The sequence below is a fragment of the Homo sapiens genome, chromosome 7 (assembly GCF_000001405.40).
Source record: "Homo sapiens chromosome 7, GRCh38.p14 Primary Assembly".
NCBI classification, from domain to species: Eukaryota; Metazoa; Chordata; class Mammalia; order Primates; family Hominidae; genus Homo; species Homo sapiens.
In genome coordinates this window covers 105260245-105287973 of record NC_000007.14, presented here as the reverse complement: position 1 = coordinate 105287973, position 27729 = coordinate 105260245, and the positions used below count along the sequence as shown (strand labels likewise).

The window sequence follows — 27729 nt, the reverse complement described above, 5'->3', positions numbered from 1 at the left end:
GTGTTTTTGTGTAGTACCCATTTGAAAGCCATATAACCACAAAAGGCATGTATTTTAAATGGGGCATCCTTTGGTAAGACAAGATTATTTAAAATATACATTTTAGTTACACAAATAATATCTGTAAAAAATTAAAGTGCAAATAAAGGTAGATCTTCCTGCCTATGTTTCCTCTTTCTACACTCCATCCCCAGAATAAGGAATATCATTTTATAGTTATTTTTTATTTTTATTTTTTGAGATGGAGTCTCACTGTGTCATCCAGGCTAGAGTGCAGTGGTGTGATCTCAGCTCACCACAACCTCCACCTCCTGGGTTCAAGCGATTCTCCTACCTCAGCCTCCCAAGTAGCTGGGATTGCAGGCATGTGCCACCACACCTGGCAAATTTTTATATTTTTAACAGAGACGGGGTTTTGTCATTTGGCCAAGCTGGTCTTGAACTCCTGACCTCAAGTGATCTCCCCTCCTCAGCCTCCCAAAGTGTGGGGATTACAGGCGTGAGCCACTGCACCCAGCCATTTCCTAGTTATTTAAGAATATATTTTACATGTATATACACATGTATATGTACCTGTGAAATATCTATAACAATGATAGTATATTCTGGGTATTCTACAAGCTACTTTGTGAGAGTTATGTTTTGGATATGTTTATCAGTACATGTGGATCTTCTGCATCCTTTTCTTCTTTTTTTTTTTTTTTTTTTTTTTTTAGACGGAGTCTCGCTCTGTCGCCCAGGCTGGAGTGCAGTGGTGGGATCTCGGCTCACTGCAAGCTCCGCCTCCCGGGTTCACGCCATTCTCCTGCCTCAGCCTCCCAAGTAGCTGGGACTACAGGCGCCCGCCACTACGCCCGGCTAATTTTTTGTATTTTTAGTAGAGACGGGGTTTCACCGTTTTAGCCGGGATGGTCTCGATCTCCTGACCTCGTGATCCGCCCGCCTCGGCCTCCCAAAGTGCTGGGATTACAGGCGTGAGCCACCGCGCCCGGCCTGCATCCTTTTCAAATGCTGTATATTATGAATGTACCATAGTTCATCTGACAGTTGCACGGCTATTCATTACTTGCTGTTGCATACAGCAATGTGACAAACATCTTTGTGTGATTCTCCTAGGCCACGTGTAAATGTCTTTCTAGGGTAGATTTGGGAGAGGAATTGCTGGAGCATACATAGCCAGCATTCTTCATATTTAAATCAATAAGTAGAATAGTGTTTGGCATGATTGACTAATTGTTTGTAAAATGAATTATGCATTTGCAATATTGTCATTTTAGTTAGGGAGTGCCAGTGTAAGTAAAACCAGTGATCTCAATACTGGCTGTGCATCAGAATTGCTTATGGAACTTTTTAGGTGTTACCACCCCCAGAGAGTGATTTCGTTGGTCTGTAAATCAGTACAGCTGTCCTTTAGCATGAAGAGTAAAATTAAATACAGAGGATGCATTCTGAGACTGTCTTAGAATGCCCAAATTACCCAGCGCTTAACTTAAATGTAGTTTACCTCATAAACTACGGTCAAATATAGCAAAAAATTTTGATCTTCTTTATGGACAGTTAATATGTTAATGACTTTTACCCTCCAAACACTTAGCATAGTAAATCTAATAAATAATTGTTTTAAGATTAGCAGAGAGGACAAAAGAAATTATTTGTAGAGGGATGGAGCAGCAAGATTATAAACTTGAAGTCTGAATACGACTGGATTTGTAGGTTTGCATCATAGCTTTTACAAATATTATGAATGTAAAGGAATGTCATTGAAAAATTTGAGGACATTTGAAAGTGGAGATGCATAGAACATAGTGGCTTAGAACCCAAACCCTATGTACAGACTGTCTTGGTACAGATTTTCCCTCTACCACAGTGGCTCTGTGATCTTTGACAAATTGCTTAGCCTTTTTGTACCTCAGTTTTCCTGTAAAATGAAGATAATGCGATAGTATTTATCTTACAGGGATATGGGAGTATCAACAGAATTATTATATGTAAAGCAAATAGATGCATGTCTGATACATTGTAACTGGTGTAAAATGCTTGTTGTTTCTGTTTCTACTTTGTATTAGGCAGTTCTTGCATTGCTATAACGGAATACCTGAGGCTGGGTAATTTTTAAAGAAAAGAGGTTTAATTGGCTCGCGGTTCTGCAGGCTTTACAAGCATGGGTCCAGCATCTGCTTCTGGTGAGGCCACAGGAACCTTACAATCATGGTGAAGGCAAAGGGAGAGCAGGTGGTTAGATGGGTTGCGTGGTAAGAGCTGGAGCAAGAGAGAGCGGGAGTAAGTGCCAGATACTTTTAAACAATCAGATCTCATGTGAACTCACTTGTCACCAAGGGAACAATGCTAAGCCATTCATGCGGGATCCATCCCAGTCCCCGTGATCCAAACACCTCCCAGCAGGCCCCACCTCCAAAACTGGGGATTACATTTCAGCAGGAGATTTGAAGTGGACAAATATCTAAACCACATATAATTTATTTGAAATACAATTATTATCCTGATATTTTAATGTCAAGCACTGTTTCATGCTTAAAATGCTGTTTCTTTTTTCTTTTCCTTTTCCTTTTTTTTTTTTTTTTTTTTTTGGAGACGGGGTCTCACTCTGTTGCCCAGTTTAGAGTGCAGTGGTACGATGTTGGCTTGCTGTAACCTCTGCCTTCCAGCTCATTCAATCCTCCCACCTCAGCCTCCCGAGTAGCTGGGATTATAGGCGTGCATCACCACACCCAGCTAATTTTTGATTTTTTTGTAGAGATAGGGTTTCGCTATGTTGCCCAGGCTGGTCTGGAACTCCTGGGCTCAAGCAATCCTCCTGCCTCGGGCTTCCAAAGTGCTGGGATTACAGGCTGGAGCCACAGCACCTGGCCAAAATACTGTTTCAGTGTGATTGGAAACCAGCAACTCAGTACATGGCCAAAGCTGATAAAAATGAAGAACTTGGATCCTGGAATATTGACTCAGGGTAACTTTATTATAACAAAGCTAAGACTCTTGTATGTCCTTGCTGTGTTTAAGACCCTGTATGTTGATTCTTGCTTATTAAATTGAAGAACGAGTTTAGATTTTTAGTTGGTGCCTATGTGGGAAACCTCACAAACAGCAAGACAGGAATAAAGTAGACCCAGCCCATTTGGCTGAAGTGTTTGTGGTACTTCATAATATTGTATAAAGCACCAAAGTCTTGAAAGTAGATTTTACTATTACTTGCTGCAGTGAAAGATATTTTTGTAGAAATAAGGGACTACTGATGCTCGAGGTGAGAATTTTAGGATTTACAAATGAGAGAAGTGATAATTGGCAAAGCTCCTGAGGGGTACTGTGTGGGAGTACAGACACAAAATGAATTGTGGTGAATTGACAAGCCTTATAAATAGCTCCATGAAGTTTAATATTTTTCCCCCAGCATGATATAAGATTTTTTAATTTTGCTTTTAAATCTCAATCACCTGTTGAATCTTTAAATTTGACTGTATAGTTGGTTATGTTTCTGCCATACTTAAAAGTAGGATTTCTTTGTATGGCACAGAAGGTGTTCTGGGAACAGCTCTGCCATTATCTCTGGCTTCATTTCTTACCAGTACCTGCTTAAGTCATGCCAGCCACCAAAACCACTAAGATGGCGTACACGAGAGGTTCTCTGTAGCTTTGCATGTACCATTTTTTTCTGTTTGGAGTGGGCCCAGTGTTAATTTCTTCACTTGGCAAAGTCATTCTGACCTTTATAACCAAGCCCAAATGACCTTGATGACCACTCCCTTTCCCTGGTCAGATTGATAACTATCTCCTTTCATGCTCGGCAGCACAGCTGTGGATTTAGGCTTTGGTGTTAGACCGCCCCGGTTTCTTATCCTGGCTTAGTTACATACTAGCTCTGCAGTTTTTCTTTAAAAAACAAACAAACAAAAAAAACAAACAAAAAACGCCCAAGTAACTTGTCAGCATTGTAATCATTTTTTGTTTGTTTGTTTGTTTTGAGACAGGGTCCCTGTCTCCCAGCCTGTCTCCCAGGTTGAAGTGCAGTGGCACCATCACGGCTCACTATAGCGTTGACTTTCTGGGCTCAGCCTCCACTTCAGTCTCTTGAGTAGCTGGGACCACAGGCGTACACCACCACTCCTGGCTAGTTTTTTTTTTGTATTTTTTGTAGAAACGGTGTCTCACCATGTTACCTAGGCTGGTCTCGAACTCCTGGGCTCAAACGACTTGCCTGCCTCGGTTTTAATCATTTTAAAGTGTACAATTTAATAGCTTTTAGCATATTCACAATATTTTGAAACTACCACTATTACATAATTCTAGAACATTTTCATCACCTCAAAGAGAACCTCTTTGTGTTAGCAAACACTCCTCATTCCCACCCTGCCCTACCCGCAATCACTAATCTACTTTCTGTGTTGATGGATTTCTCTATTCTGGACAATTTACACACATGAAATCATATAATATTTGTTATGTGCCTGGCTTCTTTCACTTAGCATAATGTTTTCAGCGTTCAGCCATACGGTAGCATGTATTAGTACTCTTTCTTTTACATATGTATATACCACATTTTATTTAACATTCCTCAATTGATGGACATATGAGTTCCCACTTTTTGATTATTATGAGTAATGCTGCTGTGAACATTTGTGTACAAGTTTTTGTGTGAAGAGTAAGAATATATGTTTTATTTCCCTTGGGTATATACCTAGGAGGAGAATTGTTGGGTCATATGGTAACTCTGTAACTCTTGTAAGAATTGCCAGCGTGTTTCCAAAGCTGCACCATTTAACTTTCCCACCAGCCATGCCTGAAGTCTCGAAATTCTCTGTCTCCTCACCAATAATAGGTATTATCTGTCTTTTCGATTATAGCCCTCTTGGTTGTGAAGTGGTATTTCACTGTTACTTTGATTTGCATTTCTGTGTGATGACAAATGATGTGGAGCATCTTTTTGTGTGCTTATTAGCTACTTGTTTTTCTTCTTTTGGCACATGTATATTTAAATCCCTTGCCCACTTTATCATTGGGTTGTTGGGTTTTTAAATTGATTGTTAAGAGTTCTTTATATATTCTGGATGCTAGTTTTTTTTTTTATCAGTTACGTGATTTACAAATATTTTCTCCCATCTTGTGGGTTTTCTTTTTACTTTCTTGATAATGCATTTTATTTTATTTTATAATTTAATGTATTTTATTTTTTGAGACAGAGTCTCACTCTGTTGCCCAGGCTGGAATGCAGTGGCACAATCTCGGCTCACTGCAACCTCCGCTTCCCAGGTTCAAGTGATTCTCATGCCTCAGTCCCCCGAGTAGCTGGGATTACAGATGTTTACCACTAAACCTGGCTAATTTTTGTATTTTTAATAGAGACAGGGTTTTGCCATGTTGGGCAGGCTTGCCTCAAGTGATCCGCCCACCTTGGCCTCCCAATGCACAGAGATTACAGGTATGAGCCTCTGCCCCTGGCCCTTTGATAATGTCTTTTAATGCACAAATGTTTTTAATTTTTATGATGTTAAGTTTATTTATCTATTCTTTTATTCCTTGTGCTTTTCATGTCATACCTAAGAAACTGTAGCCTCTTCTAAGGTTATGAAGATTCATTTCTATGTCTTCTTCTAAGAGTTTAATAGTTTTAGCCTTTATATTTAGCTGTTTGATCCATTTTGAACTGATTTTTGTATATGGTGTGAAGGGGAACTCTGGCTTCATTCTCCTGCATGTGAATATCCAGTTGTCTATCACCATTTGCTGAAGAGAGTATTCTTTTCCCATTAGATGGTCTTGGCACCCTGTTGAAAAATCACTTGATTGTAATGTGAGGGTTTATTTCTGGACTTTCCGTTATCTTTCATTGATTTAAATGTCCACCCTTAGGCCTCTTTCCTCACACTTTTCATTCCTATAGCTTTGTGTAGTCAGTTTTGAAGCCAAAACTGACTACGAAGTGTGAGTCCTCCAACTTTTTCTTTTTTCAAGATTGTTTTGGCTATTCATTGTACCTTGCATTTCTACATGAATTTGATGATCAGCTTGTTTGTGTCTGCAAAAAAGGCAGTTGGAATTTTTATCGGGGGATTATGTTGAATTTGTGGATTAATTTGGGGAATATTGCCATCTTAACAATATTAAATCTTCCCATCCACGAACACAGGATATCTTTCCATTTATTCAGGTCTTTCATTTCTTTCAACAGTGTTCTATAGTTTTCAGTGTACAAGCCTTGTACTTCCTTGGTTGAATTTATTTGTAAATATTTTATTCTTTTTGCTGCTTTTGTAAGTGAAACTGTTTAGCTTTGGGATCTTTTTTTTTTTTTTACCTTAGCAACAGGGTCTCAGTGTGTTGCTGAGGGTGGAGTGCAGTGACTATCCACAGGTGTGATGATAGTGCATTATATCCTTAAACTTCAAGGCTCAAGTGATCCTCCTGCCTCAGTCTCCACGTAGCTAGGACTGCAGGCATGTGCCACTGCAACTGGTGGGTAGCGCTGGAGTCTTGAGCAAATTTAACTTTTAGTTTCTATGCATGTTAAATGGAAATTATTAGGTTGGTGCAAATGTAATTGCGGTTTTTGCAGTTGAAAGTTAGGAGGCCAGGCGTGGTTGCTCATGCTTGTAATCCCAGCACTTTGGGCGGCCGAGGTGGATAGATCACTTGAGGTCAGGAGTTTGAGACCAGCCCAGCTAACATGGTGAAACCCATCTCTACTAAAAATACAAAAATTAGCTGGGCGTGATGGTCAGTGCCTGTAATCCCAGCTACTCGGGAGGCTGAGACAGGAGAATCACTTGAACCTGGGAGGTGGAGGTTGCAGTGAGCTGAGATCGCGCTACTATACTCCAGCCTGGGCGACCTAGAGAGACTCCTGTCTCAGAAAAAGCGGGGGAAAAACCAAACAACAAATACAACAACAAAAAGAAAAAAAAGAAGGAAGAAATGGGTTGAAAGTTAATGTAAGTTGAGAGTTAGGGGCACTAACTCTTATGCCTTATAAACAAGGTTTTTTTTTTTTTTTTTTTTTTTTTTTTTTTTTTTTTTGAGATGGAGTCTTCGCTCTGTCGCCCAGGCTGGAGTGCAGTGGCGCTATCTCGGCTCACTGCAAACTCTGCCTCCTGGGTTCACGCCATTCTCCTGCGTCAGCCTCCTGAGTAGCTGGGACTACAGGTGCCCGCCACCACGCCCGGCTAATTTTTTGTATTTTTAGTAGAGACGGGGTTTCACTGTGTTAGCCTGGATGGTCTTGATCTCCTGACCTCGTGATCCACCCGCCTCGGCCTCCCAAAGTGCTAGGATTACAGGGGTGAGCCACTGTGCCCGGCCCCCCCCCCCTTTTTTTTAATGACTTGTTTTCTTATACATGTAAATAGCCTCCCACAATCATTTTACCACCTCTTAACATAATGAAGTTTGTTTTTGAGATGATTTGAGTGGGTGTTGGCTTACCAAAGAAGTTAGAAATCAGGCATTCATTGCCTTGGTGAATTCACAGTTGTTTGTATGCAAAAATTGCAAATAATAATAAAATAAATAATAACATCTTAATTTTTGACTTTTTTTTTTTTTTGAAGACAGTCTCACTCTGTCACCCAGGATGGCATGCAGTGGTGTGATCTCAGTCTTCGCTCTCACTGCAACCTCTGCCTCCCAGGTTCAAGCGATTCTTGTGCCTCAGCCTCTCCAGTAGCTGGGATGACAGGTGTGCACCACCACACCCGGCTAATTTTTGTATTTTTAGTAGAGATGGAGTTTCACCATATTATCCAGGCTGGTTTCGAACTTCTGACCTGAAGCAATCTGCCCACTTCAGCCTCCCAAAGTACTGGGGTACAGGCGTGAGCCACTGCGCTCAGCTTAATTTTTGACTTTGTACATCCCAATATCAGTGAACCAAGTAGTTTCAGTTGTCTGTTAATATCTGGTATGAAAAAACTGTCTCTTAAGATTATAAAAATACTTATTTTTTCTGAATATTACTCTATGATATAATCTGTAAAATTTATGTATTTTATCAGTAAAATAAATGATATTCATATATTAAGAATAATGCAGGAAAAGCTTTAAAACTTGGCCTCCTGCTGAACACAGCATTGGGTTTCACCTTGAGTTTGGTAACAGCTCACAGTTATCTAAGAACTTGTGTTACTTCTACTGTCTACTTGACAGAGTCAGGGTAAAAGAGGCTTTGTTCTGTTGAGGGGCTGGATTAACTATTAATGATACTTTGTCATAGTGAGAAACCTTTAGATAGTTTTCAGAGATTGGTTTCACCACATTTCATTGCTAACGGGAGTAATTGTGAGGCTAATAAAATTAGAAATTTATTTAATACATTGTTGTATTTAGTTCTCAAATTTTATACCGAAACACTGGTAACAAACAGTTCTGGTGAACTGTGAGGTTTTAGTGTATCCATGCAGCCTTTAGGCTGGGTGGTCTGAGCTTCCTCTCTGTCTTCTTGCTTGTTGGCTTTTGTTCACACCCTCCTGGGGGTAGGGGGAATAGGGATCCCACTTTTGGAGAGAATGACTCACTTTTCTTGCCAGAACTTAGAAATCAGCAGCAAACCCCTTTCCTTTTGAACTAGTATTTCTCTTGGGTTATAAATTTTGCTTGGAATAATAATTTTAAAAGTGACAGAAAAACATTTTCTCTCAAACAGAGTTTCTCATAAGTAGTAGCAGCAGCTATCTAAATCAGAAACCTAACCAGCCTGAGACTACCTCCTTTTCCTTCTTCATTCTCTTCTGCCTGCGCCAACACCGCTCCCTCCTCCCCCCGCCGCCCGCCCTCTGGCACCCCCACTGTAAAGTTTGGAGCGAACATGACATAGTCTGTGGGCACTGTGTTCAGGAGCACAAATGATCTTGCTTTGGAATTGCAGCAGGGGAAAGCTGGTACTGGCAAAGGCTACGTTTAAGGAAGGGGGTGGAACTGGGACTTCATCTTGAAAAATGAAATCACAATCTGAAAGTAAGCCTATTTTATTTAAAAATCTTAAATTGTAATAGAAAATATGTACTTATTTTTAGAATGAACAAAGATTATACCAAGTGTTGATTGTTTTTGGTGTGCATTTCCATACTAAGTTGTATAATAACATGATTGGACATCTTTTAGGTTATAATGCAGCCATAATGAAGAGCATTTTTACAAATTACTTTTTTCTTCTTTTTCTTTCTCTCTCTCCTTTCCTTCGCCTTCCCCTTTCTCCTTTCCCCTTCCGCCTTCTGCCTTCCCCTTTTCCCCTTTCCTTTTCCCCCTTTCCCCTTTCCTCTTTCCTTTCTTCTTTTTCTTTCCTTCTTCACGGAGTCTGGCTCTGTCGCCCAGGCTGGTGTGCAGTGGTACAGTCTCAGCTCACCACAACCTCTGCCTCCCAGGTCCAAACGATTCTCCTGCCTCAGCTTCCCAAGTAGCTCAGACTACAGGCACATGCCACCACTCCCGGCTATTTTTTTTTTTTTTTTTTTGTATTTTTATTAGAGATGGGGTTCACCGTGTTGGCCAGGCTGGTCTCGAACTGCGGACCTCAGGTCATCCACCAGCCTTGGCCTCCCAAAGTGCTGGGATTACAGTTGTGAGCCACTGCGCCCAGCCTCATTTTTGCAAATTGTTTAAGGGCTTTGTTATGTATTCTCTAATAATCAAATAATTATCTTTTTTTTTTTTTTTTTGAGACAGAATCTCGCTGTGTCGCCCAGGCTGGAGTGCAGTAGCGTGATCTCAGCTCACTGCAACCTCTGCCTCCGGGTTCAAGCTATTCTCCTGCCTCAGCCTCCTGAGTAGCTGGGATTATAGGCATGCTCCACCACACCTGGTTAATTTTTGTATTTTTAATAGAGACGGGTTTTCACCTTGTTGGCCAGGCTGGTTTCGAATTCCTGATCTCAAGTGATCTGCCTGCCTCAGCCTCCCAAAGTGCTGGGATTGCAGGCATGAGCCCCACCGCGCCTGGCCTCAAATAATTATTCTTGAGCCACTTAGCATGTTATTGTCCTTGTTGATTTTTCTCTTCATTTACAAACCTCATAACCTGCTCCTCTATCCTCATTTATCATTGATTTTGCCTGGCTTTCTAGAATTTCTTTAGTATTTTCTGTCAACTTTGTCACTTTTTTCATCCTTTGCAGATTTTAAGTTTTCACTTGGCTCTAGATTTGTATTTTATTGAATTGTTAGACTGTGTGATTATTAATGAGAGAGTGACAAAGGATTTTGATGGGTGGGGATAAAAGTTAGTGATAATTGGGGATAGTTTTTTGAATGTTCAGTTTACCAATGATGATTTTTATGTTTTGCAGAATTTCTGCTTTTCTGTGAATTCTCATAACAGAGGACTTCAGTAATGAACACTGGGATAACAGGGACTCCCTTTTAAGGCTAGACTGGCCTTAGCAGATGTTGGTCAGTTAATCATCCACCCTCCTAGATTACGCAGAGGAATTGCTTTATTCTTGCACCTTTGTGAACATTCACTTATGAGTCAGTCAGTTTTGAATCAGGACCTCAATACTTGGCTTCAGATAGCAGTATTAGAAATTGGCACCTGAGCCAGAAAAGCCTTTGCGGGCCTTTTGCATTTCAGCGAGAAGTCTCTTAAAAATACCAAGTTGGGCCGGGCGCAGTGGCTCACGCCTGTAATCCCAGCACTTTGGGAGGCTGAGCTGGGTGGATCATGAGGTCAGGAGATCAAGACCATCCCGGCTAACACAGTGAAACACCATCTCTCCTAAAAATACAAAAAATTAGCCGGACGTGGTAGTGGGCGCCTGTAGTCCCAGCTACTCGGGAGGCTGAGACAGGAGACTGGTGTGAACCCGGGAGGCGGAGCTTGCAGTGAGCGGAGATCACGCCACTGCACTCCAGCCTGGGCGACAGAGTGAGACTCTGTCTCAAAAAAAAAATAATAATAATAAGTTGGAGACACCAAGAAGGGCTCCATAAGCGTGTATCCTGAGGCAGTAGAATGTGTAAACATGTGAAATAGAGAGAAGAAGCAGTTAATTGGTAGTGGCAGGAGAAGTAGAGTTAGGATGGGAGAGGTGTTGAAACCCTAGAATAGTGGAGCATTAAGGTGGAGAACCATCCCACTGAACACCTGGAAATATTGATTTGGGAGCTGCTCTGACTTCTGAAGAAGCGTGTGGTTTTGAAGCCTGCTGAGGCATTTTCCTCTTAACTTCTAGGTATATTCTTGCAGTATTCCCTGTCATTTCAGGCAACCTTAACACGTATTTGTTTCTTTTCTTTTCAGACAGATTCTTGCTCTGTTGCCCAGAGTGGAGTGCAGTGGTGCAGTCTTGGTAAACTGCAGCTTCAACCTCTTGGGCCCAAGTGATCCTGCCATCTCAGCCTCCTAAGTAGCTGAACCACACGTGCATGTCACCATGCTTACCTAATTTTTTTTTTTTTTTTAAGAGATGAAGTCTCACTATGTTGCCCAGGCTGGTCTTGAACTCTTGGGCTTAAGCGGTCCTTCTGCCTTGGGCTCCTTAATTGTTGGGATTACATGTGTGAGCCACCTTGACCAGCTGCATTTGTTTGTCATAGTCTAAAGTGGCTCCAGATAAATGTAAGGCACGAATTAATTTTTAAAAATCTTCCTTATGGGCCAGAAGTGGTGGCTCATGCCTTCAATCCTGGCACTTTGAGGGGGCCAAGGTGGGAGGATCGGTTGAGCCCAGGAGTTCAAGACCAGCCTCGGCAACATAGCGAGACCCTGTCTCTACCAAAAAAAAAAATTAGCCAAGCATAGTGGTGTGCATCTGTAGTTGTAACTACTCAGGAGGCTGAGGTAGAGGATTGCTTGAGCCCAGGAGTTTGAGATCCCAGTGAGCTATCGTTGCACCACTGCACTCCAGCTTCGGTGACAGAGCAAGACTCTGTCCCTCTAAAAAAAAAAAATATATATATATCCTCCTCATGTACACCCCAAACAAAATTAAGTTTGTGGATGATTATGTAAAGAATTTGGCAAGTGAAAGGAAGTTTATTAAATTTGCCAGAATGATTCCCATTGAAAAAGGATGTAGCTCTAATTATTTAGGTAGAATAATCTGCCCAGTTATTATGTCTTTTTAAATTTCCACTTGACAAAAGTCAGGGTCCTCATGCCCAGGTTTAGTGATCTGAATGACAAAGGAGCATATCATGCCCACAGCTTCTGTGTGTTCTTATGTTCCCCTCACTCCTAGGATTCTAGGTTGATTCAGGGCGGCTCCGTTTTTCTCCTAGGATGTCTGTATCTTTGAAGCACCACCCCATGGGACATCATTTTGAGTAGAGTTACTGGTAATCTGCTACTCCTCATCAGGGTTCCAGGGGCTTGGCTTAGTGCTGTACTGATAGCCCTTAGTTAGTGGTCTGGGAGCCTTAAACTTACAGTGTGTTACAACGTAGACAGGTGAAGCATTAGAGCTCCTAGGCCATTAACTGAAGAGTTAAAAACTGTTCATCTTCATAAGGAGTTTGAGTATCTTTTAAGGTGTGAGTAAAAACAAGAATAAAAGAGTTATGAGGAAGATCTGTAGGTTGGATGCAAGAGAATGAATGGGGGAAATCACAGTGAATTGTTGGCTTTGAGGGATGTATAAAGGGGATGAATAAGAAGAGTATCATGCCCCAGATGATTAGTTGTTTCAATCAAGAAAGTTGATTAATAAGGATAATTTGAATTGATTGGAGATAAAAGAAAATAGCATTTTAAAAGCTGATTTAAAATAAGATTGAAATGTCCTACTGTTACCAAAATGCCAGGGGTTTGGTCTAGGTCCTGCTGCTCTCCACAAGGAAAGCCAATCACTGGCTGGGTGCTGTGGCTCATGCTTATACTCCCAGCACTTTGGGAGGCTGAGGCGGGTGGATCACTTGAGGTCAGTTTGAGACCAGCCTAGCCAACATGGTGAAACCCCCGTCTCTACTAAAAATACAAAAATTTGTCAGGCGTGGTGGCGGGTGCTTGTAATCCCAGCTATCCCGGAGGCTGAGGCAGGAGAAATGCTTGAACCTGGGAGGCGGAGGTTATAGTGAGCCGAGATTGCGCCATCCAGCTTGGGCGACAGAGTGAGACTTTGTCTTCAAGGAAAAAAAAAAAAGCCAATCACTGAAAGAACAAGTATTACCGAGGAAGAAGGCTTTAATTGGATGCTGCAGCAAGGAGATGGGAGCTCAGTCTCAAATCCATCTCCCAGACTAAAACCAGAGCTTGATATAGCAGGGAAGAAATGTAACAGTGTGTAAGAAAATAGGAACTAGGGAGGGGCAAGGAAGCAATCATGATGAATGAGGGATCCAAAGTGTCATTGTCTGGATGTGGTGATTTGGTGAGTTTCAGTTTTTTTTTTTTCTTTCTTTGAGGTGGAGCCCCACGCACATAGATGGCTCTCTGTGGTCTCCCTATTCATCCGTCTTTTTATACTTTTTTTTTTGAGACGGAGTCTTGCTCTGTCTCCCAGCTTGGAGTGCAGTGGTGTGATCTCGGCTCACTGCAACCTGCAGCTCCCGGGTTGAAGCGATTCTCCTGCCTCAGCCTCCCGAGTAGCTGGGATTACAGGCATCTGCCACCACGCCAGGCTAATTTTTGTATTTTTAGTAGAGTTGGTGTTTCACCATCTTGGCCAGGCCGGTCTTGAACTCCTGACCTCAAATGATCCGCCCACGTGGGCCTCCCAAAGTGCTGGGATTACAGGCATGAGCCACTGTGCCTGGCCTTCAGTTCTTTGAGAGAGAGAGAGAGGGAATTTATTGTTAATTTTTTTTTGGAGGCTTGAGGGTCCTTTGCTGAGGAAGGAACTTAGATAAAACATACTTGTATTACGCTTTAAGACCAGAAAGGTCAGTTTCTGTGTTTATCCAAAAGAACAGCCTATGGGACTATTGGGTGGGTTTTACTATTTGGGTTGTTGAAGTTCTTGGAAATTTTACTGTAGGTCTCAGCAACAGTAATCTTCTGGAGAAGATGAAGAATGTGATTGCCTCCAGTATCTTTTTGCCCCTTAGATTTCCCCTTTATAAATTCATGTGGTTCAGCTATGAGATGATCTGAGGATCAGTCTAGTTCTAAAATTGCTTGGATCTTTGGTTAAGTGTATCTGGAAATGTATATTTAAGAATAAATTAATGTAGCTCAATTGTAACTAACATTAGATTGACTGTAACAGGCTGAGAAGACTATGAAGGTGTCAACAACCAGTGTCTGATATGCCAGGCTGTCTGAATTGAACATTCAGGTGCCTGTCGTTAGGGAAGCAATGGTCTCATGGGGACTGAAACAAGTAATTTATATATTTTAGTAATTTGGTAATGCAAATACAGAGACGTAGAGGAGGTGAACTTAATTCTGGGAATGTGTTTGTGTGGAGGTAACATTTGGGACTGAGATTAGAAAAGTGAGTTGGGTAGCTAGGCGTGGTGGTGCCCACCTGTAATCCCAGCTACTCGGGGGGCTGAGGCAGGAGAATCGCTTGAATTTGGGAGGCAGAAGTTGCAGTGAGCTGAGATTCCACCACTGCACTCCACCCTGGGTGGCAGAACGAGACTCTGTCTCAAAAAAAAAAAAGAAAAAAAGAAAAAGAAAAAACGAGTTGGGTGTACAAGGGAGACGACTGAACGGTGGTATTCCAGGGAGAGGAAACTGTATACGAAAAGATTTAGTGGCGTGAAAAAGCATGGCATGCTTGGGGAGCCACGTAGACTAGAGCTCAGTATTTCCAGAGCGTATGATATAAAAAAGAGAGAATGGAGGGAAAGATAATTCTTTTTTCTTTTTTTTTTTTGAGACGGAGTCTCTCTCTGTCACCCAGGTTGGAGTGCAGTGGCGCGATCTCTGCTCACTGCAACCTCCGCCTCCCGGGTTCATGCCATTCTCCTGCCTCAGCCTCCTGAGTAGCTGGGACTACAGGCGCCTGCCACCACGCCTGGCTAATTTTTTGTATTTTTAGTAGAGACGGAGTTTCACCATGTTAGCCAGGATGGTCTCTATCTCCTGACCTTCGTGATTTGCCTACCTCAGCCTCCCAAGGTGCTGGGATTACAGGCGTGAGCCACCGCGCCCGGCCGGGAAAGATATTTCAAATGAGATTGGGGGAACTAGCCTGGGATCCCTCAAACATTTCAGGTTTGGTACGGCAATGGTGTTGCTGTTCACTGAGATCAGGAGTATATAAGAAGACATTAGGCTTATAAGTTTATGGGTTCAATTTTAGACATCGCATTCAAGCCATGCAGAGACTGTCTAGGTGAAAATGGAGGATATGTGGTTCTGGGTTGTAGGAGAGAATATTGGGCTGGAAACTAAGTTACCGTTATCATCAATGCCCTGTAGTTCTTGATGGCAAGGGTGTATGTAGACAGAAGGATCAGTGAGTGAAAAGAGGGTCCTTACAGGTATTACCAGCATTTAAGGGCTGCATGGAAGATAACGGTCTTGCAAAGTACCCAGAGTTAGAAGGAGAAAGCAAATGTAAAAGCATTAAAAAAAAGCCACAAAAACTTATGTCCTCCTATAATGTTATTTAGCAGTTAAGAAACAAAATTATGACTAAAAATAAAAGCAACCATAATTTAAAATATATTTATTCAAACTACACAGGAACTGCTTGCCTGTTTTCTGTGTGAAATAAGCAAGTGTGGTCTTGAGGTGGGAGTAGGGCAGATGGTAAAGGATTGATTAAAGGCTGAGATGTAGAAGGAGCTGTTGAGTGTACTGTCAAGCATTTTCAGATTACATCCATAGGGAATACAACTGTTAAATAATCAGGTTGATGGACTTTTTTTTGCACTCACTGGTCTAAATGTATACATGGAGACAGTGGGTGCTGCTTTGGAAGAACCATGAAGTGGTGGGCAAGAGAGTCATTTTAGAATTGTGAAGATGTGTCATTTTAAAATGACAAGAGAGTCATTTTAAAATCTGACTTGTAAAAGCAGACTGGATCTCTATATCAATTAATGTAACAAAATCTAGAAGGTTCTAAGATTTACATGCAAATACTATTATAAAGCATATTAGAGGAAAATTGGATGAAAAATTTAAAAACTTTGGTGTGAGGAAGGTGTTTCTAAGTTTGTTTCTAAGTTTATCAGGAAGGCCAGAATTTAACAAGGAAAAGATTGGTTGACTTTATTGCAGAAAAATAAAGCATATAGGGTCCCAGATACTACCCTGGAAGTAATTGAATAAAATTCCAAAACAACTGACTAATTGAGGGGGAAAGTGTTTGCGGTGTGTGTAAGAAAGTGTCCTGAGCATGGTCAAGGGAACGGATGGCTCAAGAGGTAGAGGTTCAAGAGTCTGTGGACTGAGGAGCCTGGAGTCGATAGCCAAGCCTTTTCTAATAAGTCATATCAGTATGGACATCCAGGTACCCCCGATTATGGCAGGTGTTGTGGTGGAATGGAAATCAGTTAAATGGCTTCTGGAATTCTTCACGAATGTGGGGAATTACCAGACCTATGGATGATAAGGACAGGGAGGAGTTGATGGTAGCATAGACAGAGTATGTGGGCCTCAAAGGATACAGTATCATAGTGTTAACGTTCCTTGATTTCTGAGTCCTTCTGGAGCGATGAACAAATCTGAAGGTTTAGAGATAAGGTGAAAATGAAGTTGGAAACCTTTTCATGTATTATTAGAATCCTCTTTGGTTTGGGGCTTCCAGTGTCACCAGTCAGAATATGGTTTATAGCTTGAACTTTTCTTTCCAGTGTTTACAAGATAGGCATTAACTTCGTTAGAGCTGTGTAATTTAATCTTGGGCTTTTTCATCTTAAGTGCATTGATATACGTACGTATACTGAAGTGTGAACTTTTTGTTGTTTTGGAATACAAAATTGCCATGATGAAGATGGATTCAAGTGTAATCTCTTTTCTGAAGCAGCAAGTTGATACATGGAGCACAATTCTCTAGGAAGGGAGGCTGAGATACAGATTAAAGTTAAGTTCCCACCTACAATAACACTACAGTGATAAAAATGGGGATGTTGAGGTTGATGATAAGAAGGAGAAGGTGGATTTAAACTATGGAAAAACCATTTAACATTGGACAGGCCTGGTATCCTTCATTAACTAATTCAGTAAATATTTATTGAGAGATGAAGCAGGGAGGGCTCATGGCATCCCAGGCACAATACTACTTTATTTTCATGGGTTATTTCATTAAATCCTTGCCACAGCCTTTCAGATATATGTTATTATCCTCATTTTACAGGAGAGGAGATAGAGGCTTTAGAGAGTTTAAGTAATTTCTCCAAGGTCATACAGCTATTAAAAATGGCAGAGGAGGCCTGGTGCTGTGGCTCATACCTGTAATCCCAGCACTTTGGGAGGCTGAGGTGGGCGCATCATCTGAGGTCAGGAGTTCAAGACCAGCCTGACCAACATGGTGAAACCCTGTCTCTACTAAAAAGACAAAAAATTAGCTGGGTATGGTGGCGGGCGCCTGTAATCCCAGCTACCCGGGAGGCTGAGACAGGAGAATCGCTTGAACCCGGGAGGCGGAGGTTGCAGTGAGCCGAGATTGTGCCATTGCACTCTAGCCTGGGCAACGAGTGAAATTCCATCTCAAAAAAAAAAAAAAAAGGGCAGAGGAGGCTGTTCCTAAATCCAAGGCAGAGTCTGAGCTCTGACACCCTGCTCCTTCCAAAATGAGGGGAGGGGCCCTGCTGAGGGCTCACTGTGGCGCCATGTGCCTGATCCTCAAGGTGAGTCTCAGCACCACCCCAGCTATAGGCGCTGTGCTCTGCTCTCCCAGTGGCTCGGCAGCTTGGCTACACCCTGTGGTAGATTCTGCTCTCTCATCAGGTATTCATGCCGCTTTTATAATGCTCATTGAAGTTATAAGCTTAAAAATTTGGGAAAAATCCTTATTTTAACAACGCTGAGAGGATATTTCTGTACAGGTCCATTGTATTTTATGGAACTAATTTTTATTCCTTTTTCCTTTACATCTTCTCATATTCAACTTTGATTTATATAGTCAACATTTTAAAAAAAATTTGCTTTACTGCTTAAAAAACTATTGAGGTCTATTTTGAAATCCTGGTACTGTTGATAGCATTTTATTGGCACTAATTTATTTTTTAGTATGTGAACTTTTTATTATGAAAGCACACTTCAGTTTTAAAAATCCAGTTGGAAATACTTATTAGGGATAGGAAAACAGCTTTACACATGAAATAGTCTGGGTAATAGGACCATGTCAGTTTTATTAACTTAAAATTATGTGCTTTAGTCAGTCGTTGATGTTTTAAAGGAAACGTGTTAGATTGTCTCCTTATCTTTTCCCTCTCTTATTTTCACCCTTCCTTCCCTTTTAGTCTGTTATCTCCCTTCCAAATCAGTATCAGCAATTATCTTTTAATTAAGTTGAACTGGTGCTTACATTCCTGTTGTAGATGTCTATTGTCAATCCTTTCCTAAAAGGACAAATATATTATCTCTGCTCGGTAAATGGGTGTTGCTGTTCACTTGTACTGTACTGCTAAGGAGGAGGGGAAAATTAAGGTATAAAATCAGAAGTCTCTTTCTAGAGGAGTTAGGAACACTAGATATTAAATGTGTCTTTAATTAAACACAATCAAGAAATTAAAACAAAGGTTAAACATTTTGAAATCTATACATCGGGGTTCTGGTTTAATATTTCATTCTTAAGTGACAAAAATGATTCACTGAGCCATATTTTTTAGGGCTAGTGAAATAGAAACAGCCAAGGGTTGCATATCTGTTTATTACAGCCTGTGACGTGATTACCCAGGCTTCTCAAATTATCTAGTATATTTAATTCAGATGTTCAAGATTTCTTGTTTGTATTTTATTTTGCTAAATTGAAAATCATCTTGTAGAACCATGCTAGTTCTACCTTAAAAAAGAAAACACCCCTCTGCTTTAAAGAAATGGTACTTCCTGCTTTCATAAACAGTCATGTGCATAGTTTAGCAAGGCCTGATGCCTCTGGAGCTTTTTCCCTTTATAGCACCATTGAATCCCAGTCCTAACAGAAGTACTGCGAATCTTGTGGCCTCATTCTGAACAAAAGGGATTAGAGAAGAAAAATCTCTTGATATAAGGCTTGAAAGCAAGGGCAGGCAATCTTGGTTGTGAATATTTTCTGATTTTTCCAGAAATCAAGCAGAAGATTGAGCTGCTGATGTCAGTTAACTCTGAGAAGTCGTCCTCTTCAGAAAGGTACAGCTACATCTCTTGCATGAACAATTAATGGTGTAGCATTGCTAAGAAACAAACCAGGACATATTTTTTTTTCTTGTCAAGTTTGCTATATAACGTATTGTCCTGCATGCTGGTATTGTGCTGTATTGAAGATGTGTATTGGGGCAAGCTGTTCTGCTTTTGCAAAGGGTGATTGATTTTTTTAAGAAAAATAGTGGAGCCTGATCAGCTGCAGCATGCACACCATAACACAGCAGACCGCTGGTTCATGTGTGACAGCTGTTGAAGGCTTTAAAAATAATTTAGCTAAAAAGCAGAAAAGAAAAATCTTGCTTTTTTAAAGGGAAATGCTGTGAGGTTTTCTTCCTATATGTTGAGGTTGCTGCTCTACAGAATTACGAAGGTTATTTGTAAAATGTAGGTTAAAAATACTTGATTTTGGGTTGTAATAAATATTTATTCTTATATGGTAAGGGAGTGCCATTTGTAAATAGCTTAGGAATTGCAAACCCACAGATTAGTCACATTCTGTAAGAGAGATATGATGCTTCTTCAAGTCTGTGCTAGGAAATGGAACAGTCACTGCATGCAGTAATGGTTCATGCCTGCAGGTAAGGACAAAATGACTCAGAAGTATTTTTAAAGCAATTATTTTATCTGTCAATCATATGATTATATCTGAAAAGAGATATTTCATTAAAATGACTGTTTTGCCTTATAAAAAGAATTAAGATATTTTTATCTGAAGTCAGAAATAAGGCTATAGTTGCCTATTTTGATATGCAAATATTGTATACAGTTCTGTTTACCAAAATAGTGTATACTACATGATGTCTTAAATTGAGATTCCTGGGCATACAGTTGATGCTTACCTTTCTCTTGGTTACCTAATAGGTTATACTTAATATTGATATTTTATACTTAAGGTATATGTTGATTTATCTTTTCTAGGGTTTGCAGGGTTATCTTTTTTGTTCATAGATGTAATATTTAGAAAAATAATGGAGAAATAATGTGGTAGTTAAGGAATGATACAGAAAAAATACAAAAAAAATGAGTTGAAGAACCTACCATGGTAAAATGGATTTATTTAAAGTATGCTAGTATATGAAGGACATAATCTGATGTAAAATTATCATTTTAAATTGATTTATTAGTATAATCAGGGGAAAAAGCTTATGGCTCTAACTTAGGGCATCACAAATAAAAATGATGTTACTGCTTTTGTTAGAGACTGAAAGTAGAAAATTTTAGGACTGCTAGTGTTTATTTTTGTGTGGCTTCTAACTTTTGGTTTGTGGCTAGCCATCTGATCTTAAGCATTCTGTTTGCTGAGATGAGAAACAGTCTTCAGCCTTGTGAATATTCTGCCAGTAAAATGGTGGTGATGGGAAGGGTAGAAGAGGGTGGTGTGCATAGTGAACGAGCTGGGTATCAGCTGTAATGTTAGAGTTTGGTACTAGGAAGAGCACACTTAATGAGATGACAGTAATAATTACATTAGCTTTTTGGAATATCATGAATTCTTTACTGATAAATTGAGGGTTGGACAGAGTGGATGAATATTATTGAGAAACAAATTAGGAGTGGATGAGGTTTTCTGGTTAAAATACATTCTGTAAGGAAAGATATTCTAAGATATTTTAGTGATTTTATTTATTTACTTACCTACACTCTGGTGGTTATTTGAAGGAAAGGGAGGACGCATGTGGTCATGATTTTAAAGTTTAGAAATCAGCCACTATTGCTTCTGATAACTTCATGCACAGTTTTACCAGAGATTACTTAATTTATGTATTATTATTTCATGGCCATTATGCTGTCCTGACTTAATGGTTGATAAATGTAGCTTATAAATCAGACAACACTTTGCAAACATAGAAGTTGTTTCGTTAATGTAGATATATTACAACAAGAAGGTACTCTCCCTTGCCCCTACTTTTTATTAAAAGTCATATGGTAATGAACAGTCAAATCATTTGTCTTTTTAATTTGTTTGGAGGAACTTGAAAAATAAGAATCTGAAGTTTAAAAAGAATTTATGGCTTGTAACACTATATCCTGTCCAGGAATTTAACACCTTACAATATCATGTAGCATTATCATTACATTCTTAAATTCCTTGTTCACCAGTCCAGCTACATTTTAAGAGTTTTTGCTTTCACTTAAAAAAAAAATAAGTTAATGGTTTGAGGCATGGTGCTCTAAATCTTAGAGATATTTGGAATTTGCATATAGTCAGTGTTCCCATCTGTCTACTGGTAGAAAGGTTGAAGAAATCTGACTTCTTTCTTTAGCAGGGGAGAAACTGCTTGATTGTAAGCAAACCAAAAGTTATCATTCACCACAACTGATTTTGTTCCTGCAGTATATAGAATTATCTTTTGATAATTCAGAAAACTGGGTAGAGAAAAGTACCTCTAAATACAAAATATAAATACAAAAACCCTGATGTGATTATTTCTAGTAATTTTTCATCTCATTTTTATCCTTTTAAAAGAATTGCTAGTCTTGCAAGAGCTTAGTATTGGTTGAATTGTTTTTGTTCAATTTTATAAAATGGGAAAAGCAAAACAACCTAATTTATTTTTGTAGAATCTTAAGAGTCCTTCACTGAAAAATATACATACGATTTGAAGTAAAATTATAATGGAATTTGAAGGTTGTTTGGGGGGCTAAATTGGGAAATACGTTATCCTAATAGATCTCAATAACACCTTGAAATCTAAAATTATGTTTTTACCTTTAAAGGAACAGTGGAAGTCTGAAGAGTGCCATTTTGTAGGGGAGTTATGGAGTACTTCTGTTCTGAATGGCTGACTCCTAAGATCAAAACTATCAGGGTTACAAAACGTTAGTTTATTTTTTGGTTTTGTGTTTTGAAGAGAGAGAAAAAAACTCAGCATAACCATTTAAAAAATTAAGAGCAGAGAATGCTATTGAATGAATTTTTTAAAAAAAATGCCTAATGATGAATGAAAAATGATGTATATAATAGTTACGAGGAAGATATTTGCTGCAAGACAGTACCCTCTGGAGATTTTAGGGGTAAATCCTACTGCAGGTATTTTCCTTTTTTTTGAGTGCCTGTTGAATGAATGAATTCATCTTGAATATAGTAGAGTCGGTGCTAGACACATTTTTACTCCCTTGTTTACTCCTGTTTACAGTAATAAATGTGAATATCTGATTAAAAAAACTAGGTTTTCAAGTTCTCGTTTCTTCATTTTGCCCTTTCTTAGCTAGAGCACTTCTGGGATTTATGGGGTAATGTGCGTGGGGGAGAGTAGTAGTAGTAATAACCATAATAGCTAAAAAGGTGTAGTACAGTTGTCCCTTGGTGTCCAAGGGGGATTGATTGGTTCCATGACCCCCCATAGATATCAAAATCCACAGATGCTCAAGTCCTTCATGTAAAATGGTATAGTATTTGCACATAACCTGTGTACTTCGTCCCATATGTTTTAAAACATCTCTAGATTACTTACAATACCTAATACAATGAAAACACTCTGTAAATAGTTGTTATATTATAGTTTAAAAATTTGTATTATTGTTGTATTTTATTTTTTATTGTTTTATATCCCAAATATTTTTGATCTGTAGTGGGTCAAATCTGTGGATGTGGAGGGCTGACTCTAATCATTTATTAAACAGTCTAGATACCAGTTCTGAGTGCTTTTTAGGTGAAGAGAAAGAGAGGGAAGGGGTGTGTGTGTTGTGTGTAGAAGGAATGGTTATTGGGAGAACTGTTTAATAAATCATCCCAGAAGAATCCTGTGTGAACAGAAGGTACTTTACCGTACTATCATTTTTGTCAAACTTTATTGCTATTTCTTCAGGGAACTCAGGTAACAAAATTGTACAATTCTTAATCAGTAAAGAAAGTTGAGCCCAGAGTGGTCAGAGCTGATTCCCAGTCTGCCTAGGTAAACCCAAGGAGGGCTGAGGAGTTTGTGAGATGAGGAGATCTGAGAAGCTGAGACTGCATTCACACATAGCATTGCCCACATCTGCTGTTCAGTGTGAGTGGATGTTGTTTTAATTGATAAAGTTCACAATGAACTAAAAATTAACAACTCACAACAGTGCTATATAGGTTTGCATTTTCTCAGGGAACAGATACGGAAAGGATAATTTCTTTTTGCATGTTTGTGGGTTTTTGATGTATTTTAGTGTTTAAAAGGGAGTCTTTATACTTGTAGCTCAATAGATAAGAACTCCTAGCCTAGATCCTTAACATTTCAGTTAGCTAGCCAATACTGAATTCACAAACTGTAGCTGTCTTGTTCAGGAGAGGAGAGAAGCGGAGAGGGAAAAAGTGTCATAGTAATATTTATGCTGTGGCCTATATTCTACCAATGCCGAATAAAAAGGATTGGTGAGAATTGATAGAGATTGTGTGTTGTCCCTTCTCCAATATAAGGGTATTTCAAATCCATAAGGAACCCAGGCTGTTTTTGTGTGTGTATTTTAATTGTTCTCTTCTTATTTTGGTGCCTCGTATGCAAAGGTGAAAGTGATACATAGCGATGTGTGGATGCGGAGAGCAAAAAGCTATACCTGGAAAAATAAGGAGAAAGGAAGGGAAAAAATTCAAAAGTGAGGAAGGTACCAGATGAAGAGAGAAAGAAGTAAAGGGCATTCAGTGGAAAAGGATCCTGGACCAAGATGTCTTTGATTTGCTCTTAAGTTGATATATTTTCTTTTATGATGTGTGGTGGACTAAGAGCAGTTATAGGAGGAGAACCAAAGGGTCTTTCTTCGTTGTTTTCCCTTTCTCCCCCCGTTGCAATGCAAAGACTAGGAAAAACATTTGTTGATAACTATTTTTCCCTTTTCCAACTCCTGCTCTGCCACTGTTGGCTTTCTTTCTCTCCTTGTAGAGGTGTACTTGTTCCTTAATGAGATGACATAGTGGTTGATTGTGTTGTCTTCTCATCACTCAATTCTTTATTTAATTTTTGTTAGTATTTTCATTGAAGATACGTATATGGAATAGTACCCAGATCATAGATCTTTATGAAATACAGTTTATTGAAATTTTTTTTCAGTGTTTTTGTTTGTTTGTTTTGTGTGTGTGTGTGTTGTGCCTAAGAAATCTTTGCCAAGCCTAGGGTCACTAATATTTTCTGCTAGATTGACTTTTAGGAGTTTTAGGATCTTAACATTTAAGTCTGTGATTCATTTGGGGTTTTAGTATTAAGGTAAAGATTGAGATTCAATTTTTTGCATATGACAGTTCAGTTGTATCTGTTTTGAACATTATATAAATAGAAACCCTCTGGATAAGCTTTTGGTCTGTTACCTATGTGAGGTTACCTATGTGAGGTTCATCCATATTGTTGTGTGTAGTTGTAATTAATTCAGTCTCATATCTGTACAGTATTCATGAATATACCTCAGTTTATTCATTCTATTAATGAGCATTTGGGAGGCTTACAGTTTGTGGTTATTAGGAATAGTGCTGCTATGAGCATTTCTTTTTCTTTTTTTTTTTTGAAATGGAGTTTTGCTCTTTTGCCCAGGCTGGAGTAAAGTGGAGCGATCTCAGCTCACTGCAACCTCTGCCTCCCAGGTTCAAGCAATTTTCCTGCCTCAGCCTCCAGAGTAGCTGGGATTACAGGCCCGCGCCACCACGCCCGGCTAATTTTTGTATTTTTAGTAGACACGGGGTTTTGCCTTGTTGGCCAGGCTGGTCTCAAACTCCTGACCTCAGTCCACCCACCTCAGCCTCCCAAAGTGCTAGGATTACAGGTGTGAGCCACCTTGCCCAGTCTGCCGTGAGCATTTCCATACATGTCTTTTGGTTAATGAAGCTTGCATGCATTTGTTTAATATATTCCTAGGAGTGCAGTTGCTGAGTTTTAGTGGGTATTGTCAGTTTTCCAAAGTGAATGTACCACTCTATACTTCCACCAACTGTGTATGCTCCAGGTTCTTTTCAATTTGGTATTGTATATATTTTTTTCCTTCTCTTACCTTTCCCTCCATTTCTCCCTTCCTTTTTCCTTGTTAGCATTCTGGTGGCTCTACCAGTGTTACCCAGAGTTTGCACCATTTTGAGGAGGATTAGAAGTAGAAACTGGACTATTTCTGAACATGAGCGTTCCTGAGGGGGAACAGAATTAGAAGCATAGACCAGTAAGTGACCCTAGGGTGTTGTTGTTGGAGGCACTGCTTTCCCACTGATTATAGTCTTGTAACTGGGTACTAGAGGCCGTGGGTATTAACATTAGTTTTCAGACTTGGTTTCAGTAGCAAAACCTTCTTTCGTCAAACCTTAATAGGAAGTTATCATGTAAAATATATAAAGAAGATGCTTGGTTTGGGAGCTGGGGAATGTAAATCAGAGCCGCAGTTTTTGATGCTTAGCCGTCCGCCTTGGAGCCACTTCCTCGAGCTCCAGTCCTCTTTACTTAAAGCCCTTGAGGTAGGTAGGCCACCTTAGGTCTGTCCAAGAAATCATGACATTTTGATAGCTTCTGAAGTGTTAAGTTTTAAGCTGTTCCTAGTCTCTAAAATTTATGTATCATATACCTAAATAAAAGTGTAGTGTTAGTTTCCAATGAAAGACTGGACAATGTTCTGATCAGGTTTTCTGTTGGCCATTATTTATTTGGTCTAGATGTAGTAGTTTCTACATTATTTTGTAATCAATTTTGATTCTGTCTGTTTACTGATGCTTCTCTGGAGGGTTGCTTACATTACAGCCAGAGCAAACCTTTCAGAACACAAATCTGATCAGGTAGGTCATTCCACGTTTAAAACCTTTCAGCTGTCTTCCCCTTGTGCTTGGGAGTTAGGTAAACTCCATACCTGGGTCAGTGAGTACCTCTTTTCTCTGTCCTCATCTCCCTCTCCAGCCTTGTCTCATGTATCTCTTCCTTTGGTCATGTCCTGGCTGTTTTGCTGTTCCCATCCTTCCTGTCTCAAGGAAGCTCTGCCTGTATCAAATTACAGTACCATGTACTTCTCCTTTGTAGCATTTGTCACAGCTGCTGTTTGACAGTGGGGCGTATCAGTGACATTTGGTCTACTTACTGGCTTACTCACTGTTAACCCCACCTTATGATCTTATATATAGAAGTGCTTTCATCACAAAATGTCAACAAAACAAATAATGTTCATTTGCATTTTACAAATTATGAGCTTTATAGGAAGACTTTCTTGGTATGGGGAGTTATCTCTTTCTGTGGTATTGGCATAGATTAATAAATAATCATAAGATAATTTTGTTACAAACTGTCAAGGTTACAGGTCTTAGATTTTTCTTTTTTCTTTCTTTTTTTTTTTGAGATGGAGTCTCGAGTCTTGCTCTGTCGCCCAGGCTGGAGTGCAGTGGCGCGATCTCGGCTCACTGCAAGCTCCGCCTCCCAGGTTCACGCCATTCTCCTGCCTCAGCCTCCTGAGTAGCTGGGACTACAGGCGCCCGCCACAATGCCTGGCTAATTTTTTGTATTTTTAGTAGAGACGGGGTTTCACAGTGTCAGCCAGGATGGTCTCGATCTCCTGACCTTGTGATCCACCCGCCTCGGCCTCCCAAAGTGCCGGGATTACAGGCTTGAGCCACCACACCCGGCCAGATTTTTCTGTCACCATAAAAGCGCACAGCTTATTGTTACATTTATTTTTCATTTAATATACAATGGAAATTAAATTTGGACACTTTCCATCTCTGTGCCAAAATGGCAACATTAAAGCATAGTCATTTACATCCCAAATATTAGTATTTTGTGTATCACCTTGGTGTTTTTTGGTCACATTTGCACTCCATACTGTTTTTTTTTTTTTTTTTTTTAATTTCTAGGGTACATATGCACAATGTGCAGGTTTGTTACATAGGTATACATGTGCCATATTGGTTTCCTGCACCCATCAACTCGTTATTTACATTAGGTATTTCTGCTAATGCTGTCCCTCCCCCAGTCCCCCACCCCCCAATAGGCTCCAGTGTGTGATGTTCCCCGCCCTGTGTCCATGTGTTCTCATTATTAAACTCCCACCTACGAGTGAGAACATGTGGTGTTTGGTTTTCTGTCCTTGTGATAGTTTGCTTAGAATGATGGTTTCCAGTTTCATCCATGTCTCTGCAAAGGACATGAACTCATCCTTTTTTATGGCTGCATAGTATTCCATGATGTACATGTGCCACATTTTCTTAATCCAGTCTATCATTGATGGACATTTGGGTTGGTTCCAAGTCTTTGCTATTGTGAATAGTGCCACAATAAACATAGGTGTGCATGTGTCTTTATAGCAGCATGATTTATAGTCCTTTGGGTATGTACCCAGTAATGGGATTGCTGGGTCAAATGGTATTTCTAGTTCTAGATCCTTGAGGAATTGCCACACTGTCTTCCACAATGGTTGAACTAATTTACACTCCCACTAACAGTGTAAAAGCCTTCCTATTTCTCCACATCCTCTCCAGCACCTGTTGTTACCTGACTTTTTAATGATCACCATTCTAACTGGTGTGAGATGGTATCTCATTGTGGTTTTGATTTGCATTTCTCTGATGACCAGTGATGATGAGCATTTTTTCATGTGTCTTCTGGCTGCATAAATGTCTTCTT

The 27729-nt window shown here is 39.9% G+C and overlaps 1 protein-coding gene across 34 annotated transcripts in view, besides 1 other annotated feature; it reads left to right on the top strand.

Moving 5' to 3' along the window:
* SRPK2 (SRSF protein kinase 2) overlaps positions 1-27729 on the top strand; it is a 284618-nt gene that overhangs the window by 111384 nt on the left and 145505 nt on the right. For 17 of the 34 annotated variants that reach the window (XR_007060151.1, XR_007060150.1, XR_007060147.1 and 14 more), the window contains one exon: positions 19105-19168. The exons of 12 other annotated variants lie outside the window; for them this stretch is intronic. Coding sequence is in view for 14 of the 22 variants with exons in the window: in NM_001350746.2 (NP_001337675.1) it covers positions 19105-19168 (64 nt within the window). In the remaining 8 variants the exon portion in view is untranslated. Of the gene's footprint in view, positions 1-18921; positions 19169-27729 lie in introns of those variants that run through there. 5 more of the 34 variants (NM_001350745.2, NM_001350739.2, NM_182691.3 and 2 more) reach the window with 1 other exon arrangement.
* Positions 18867-19156: an enhancer, noted in NCBI's record as "active region_26458". NCBI's record gives its function as "activates an Ori minimal core promoter by ATAC-STARR-seq in GM12878 lymphoblastoid cells {active_cell/tissue: GM12878}" and the evidence as "EXISTENCE:reporter gene assay evidence [ECO:0000049][PMID:35858748]".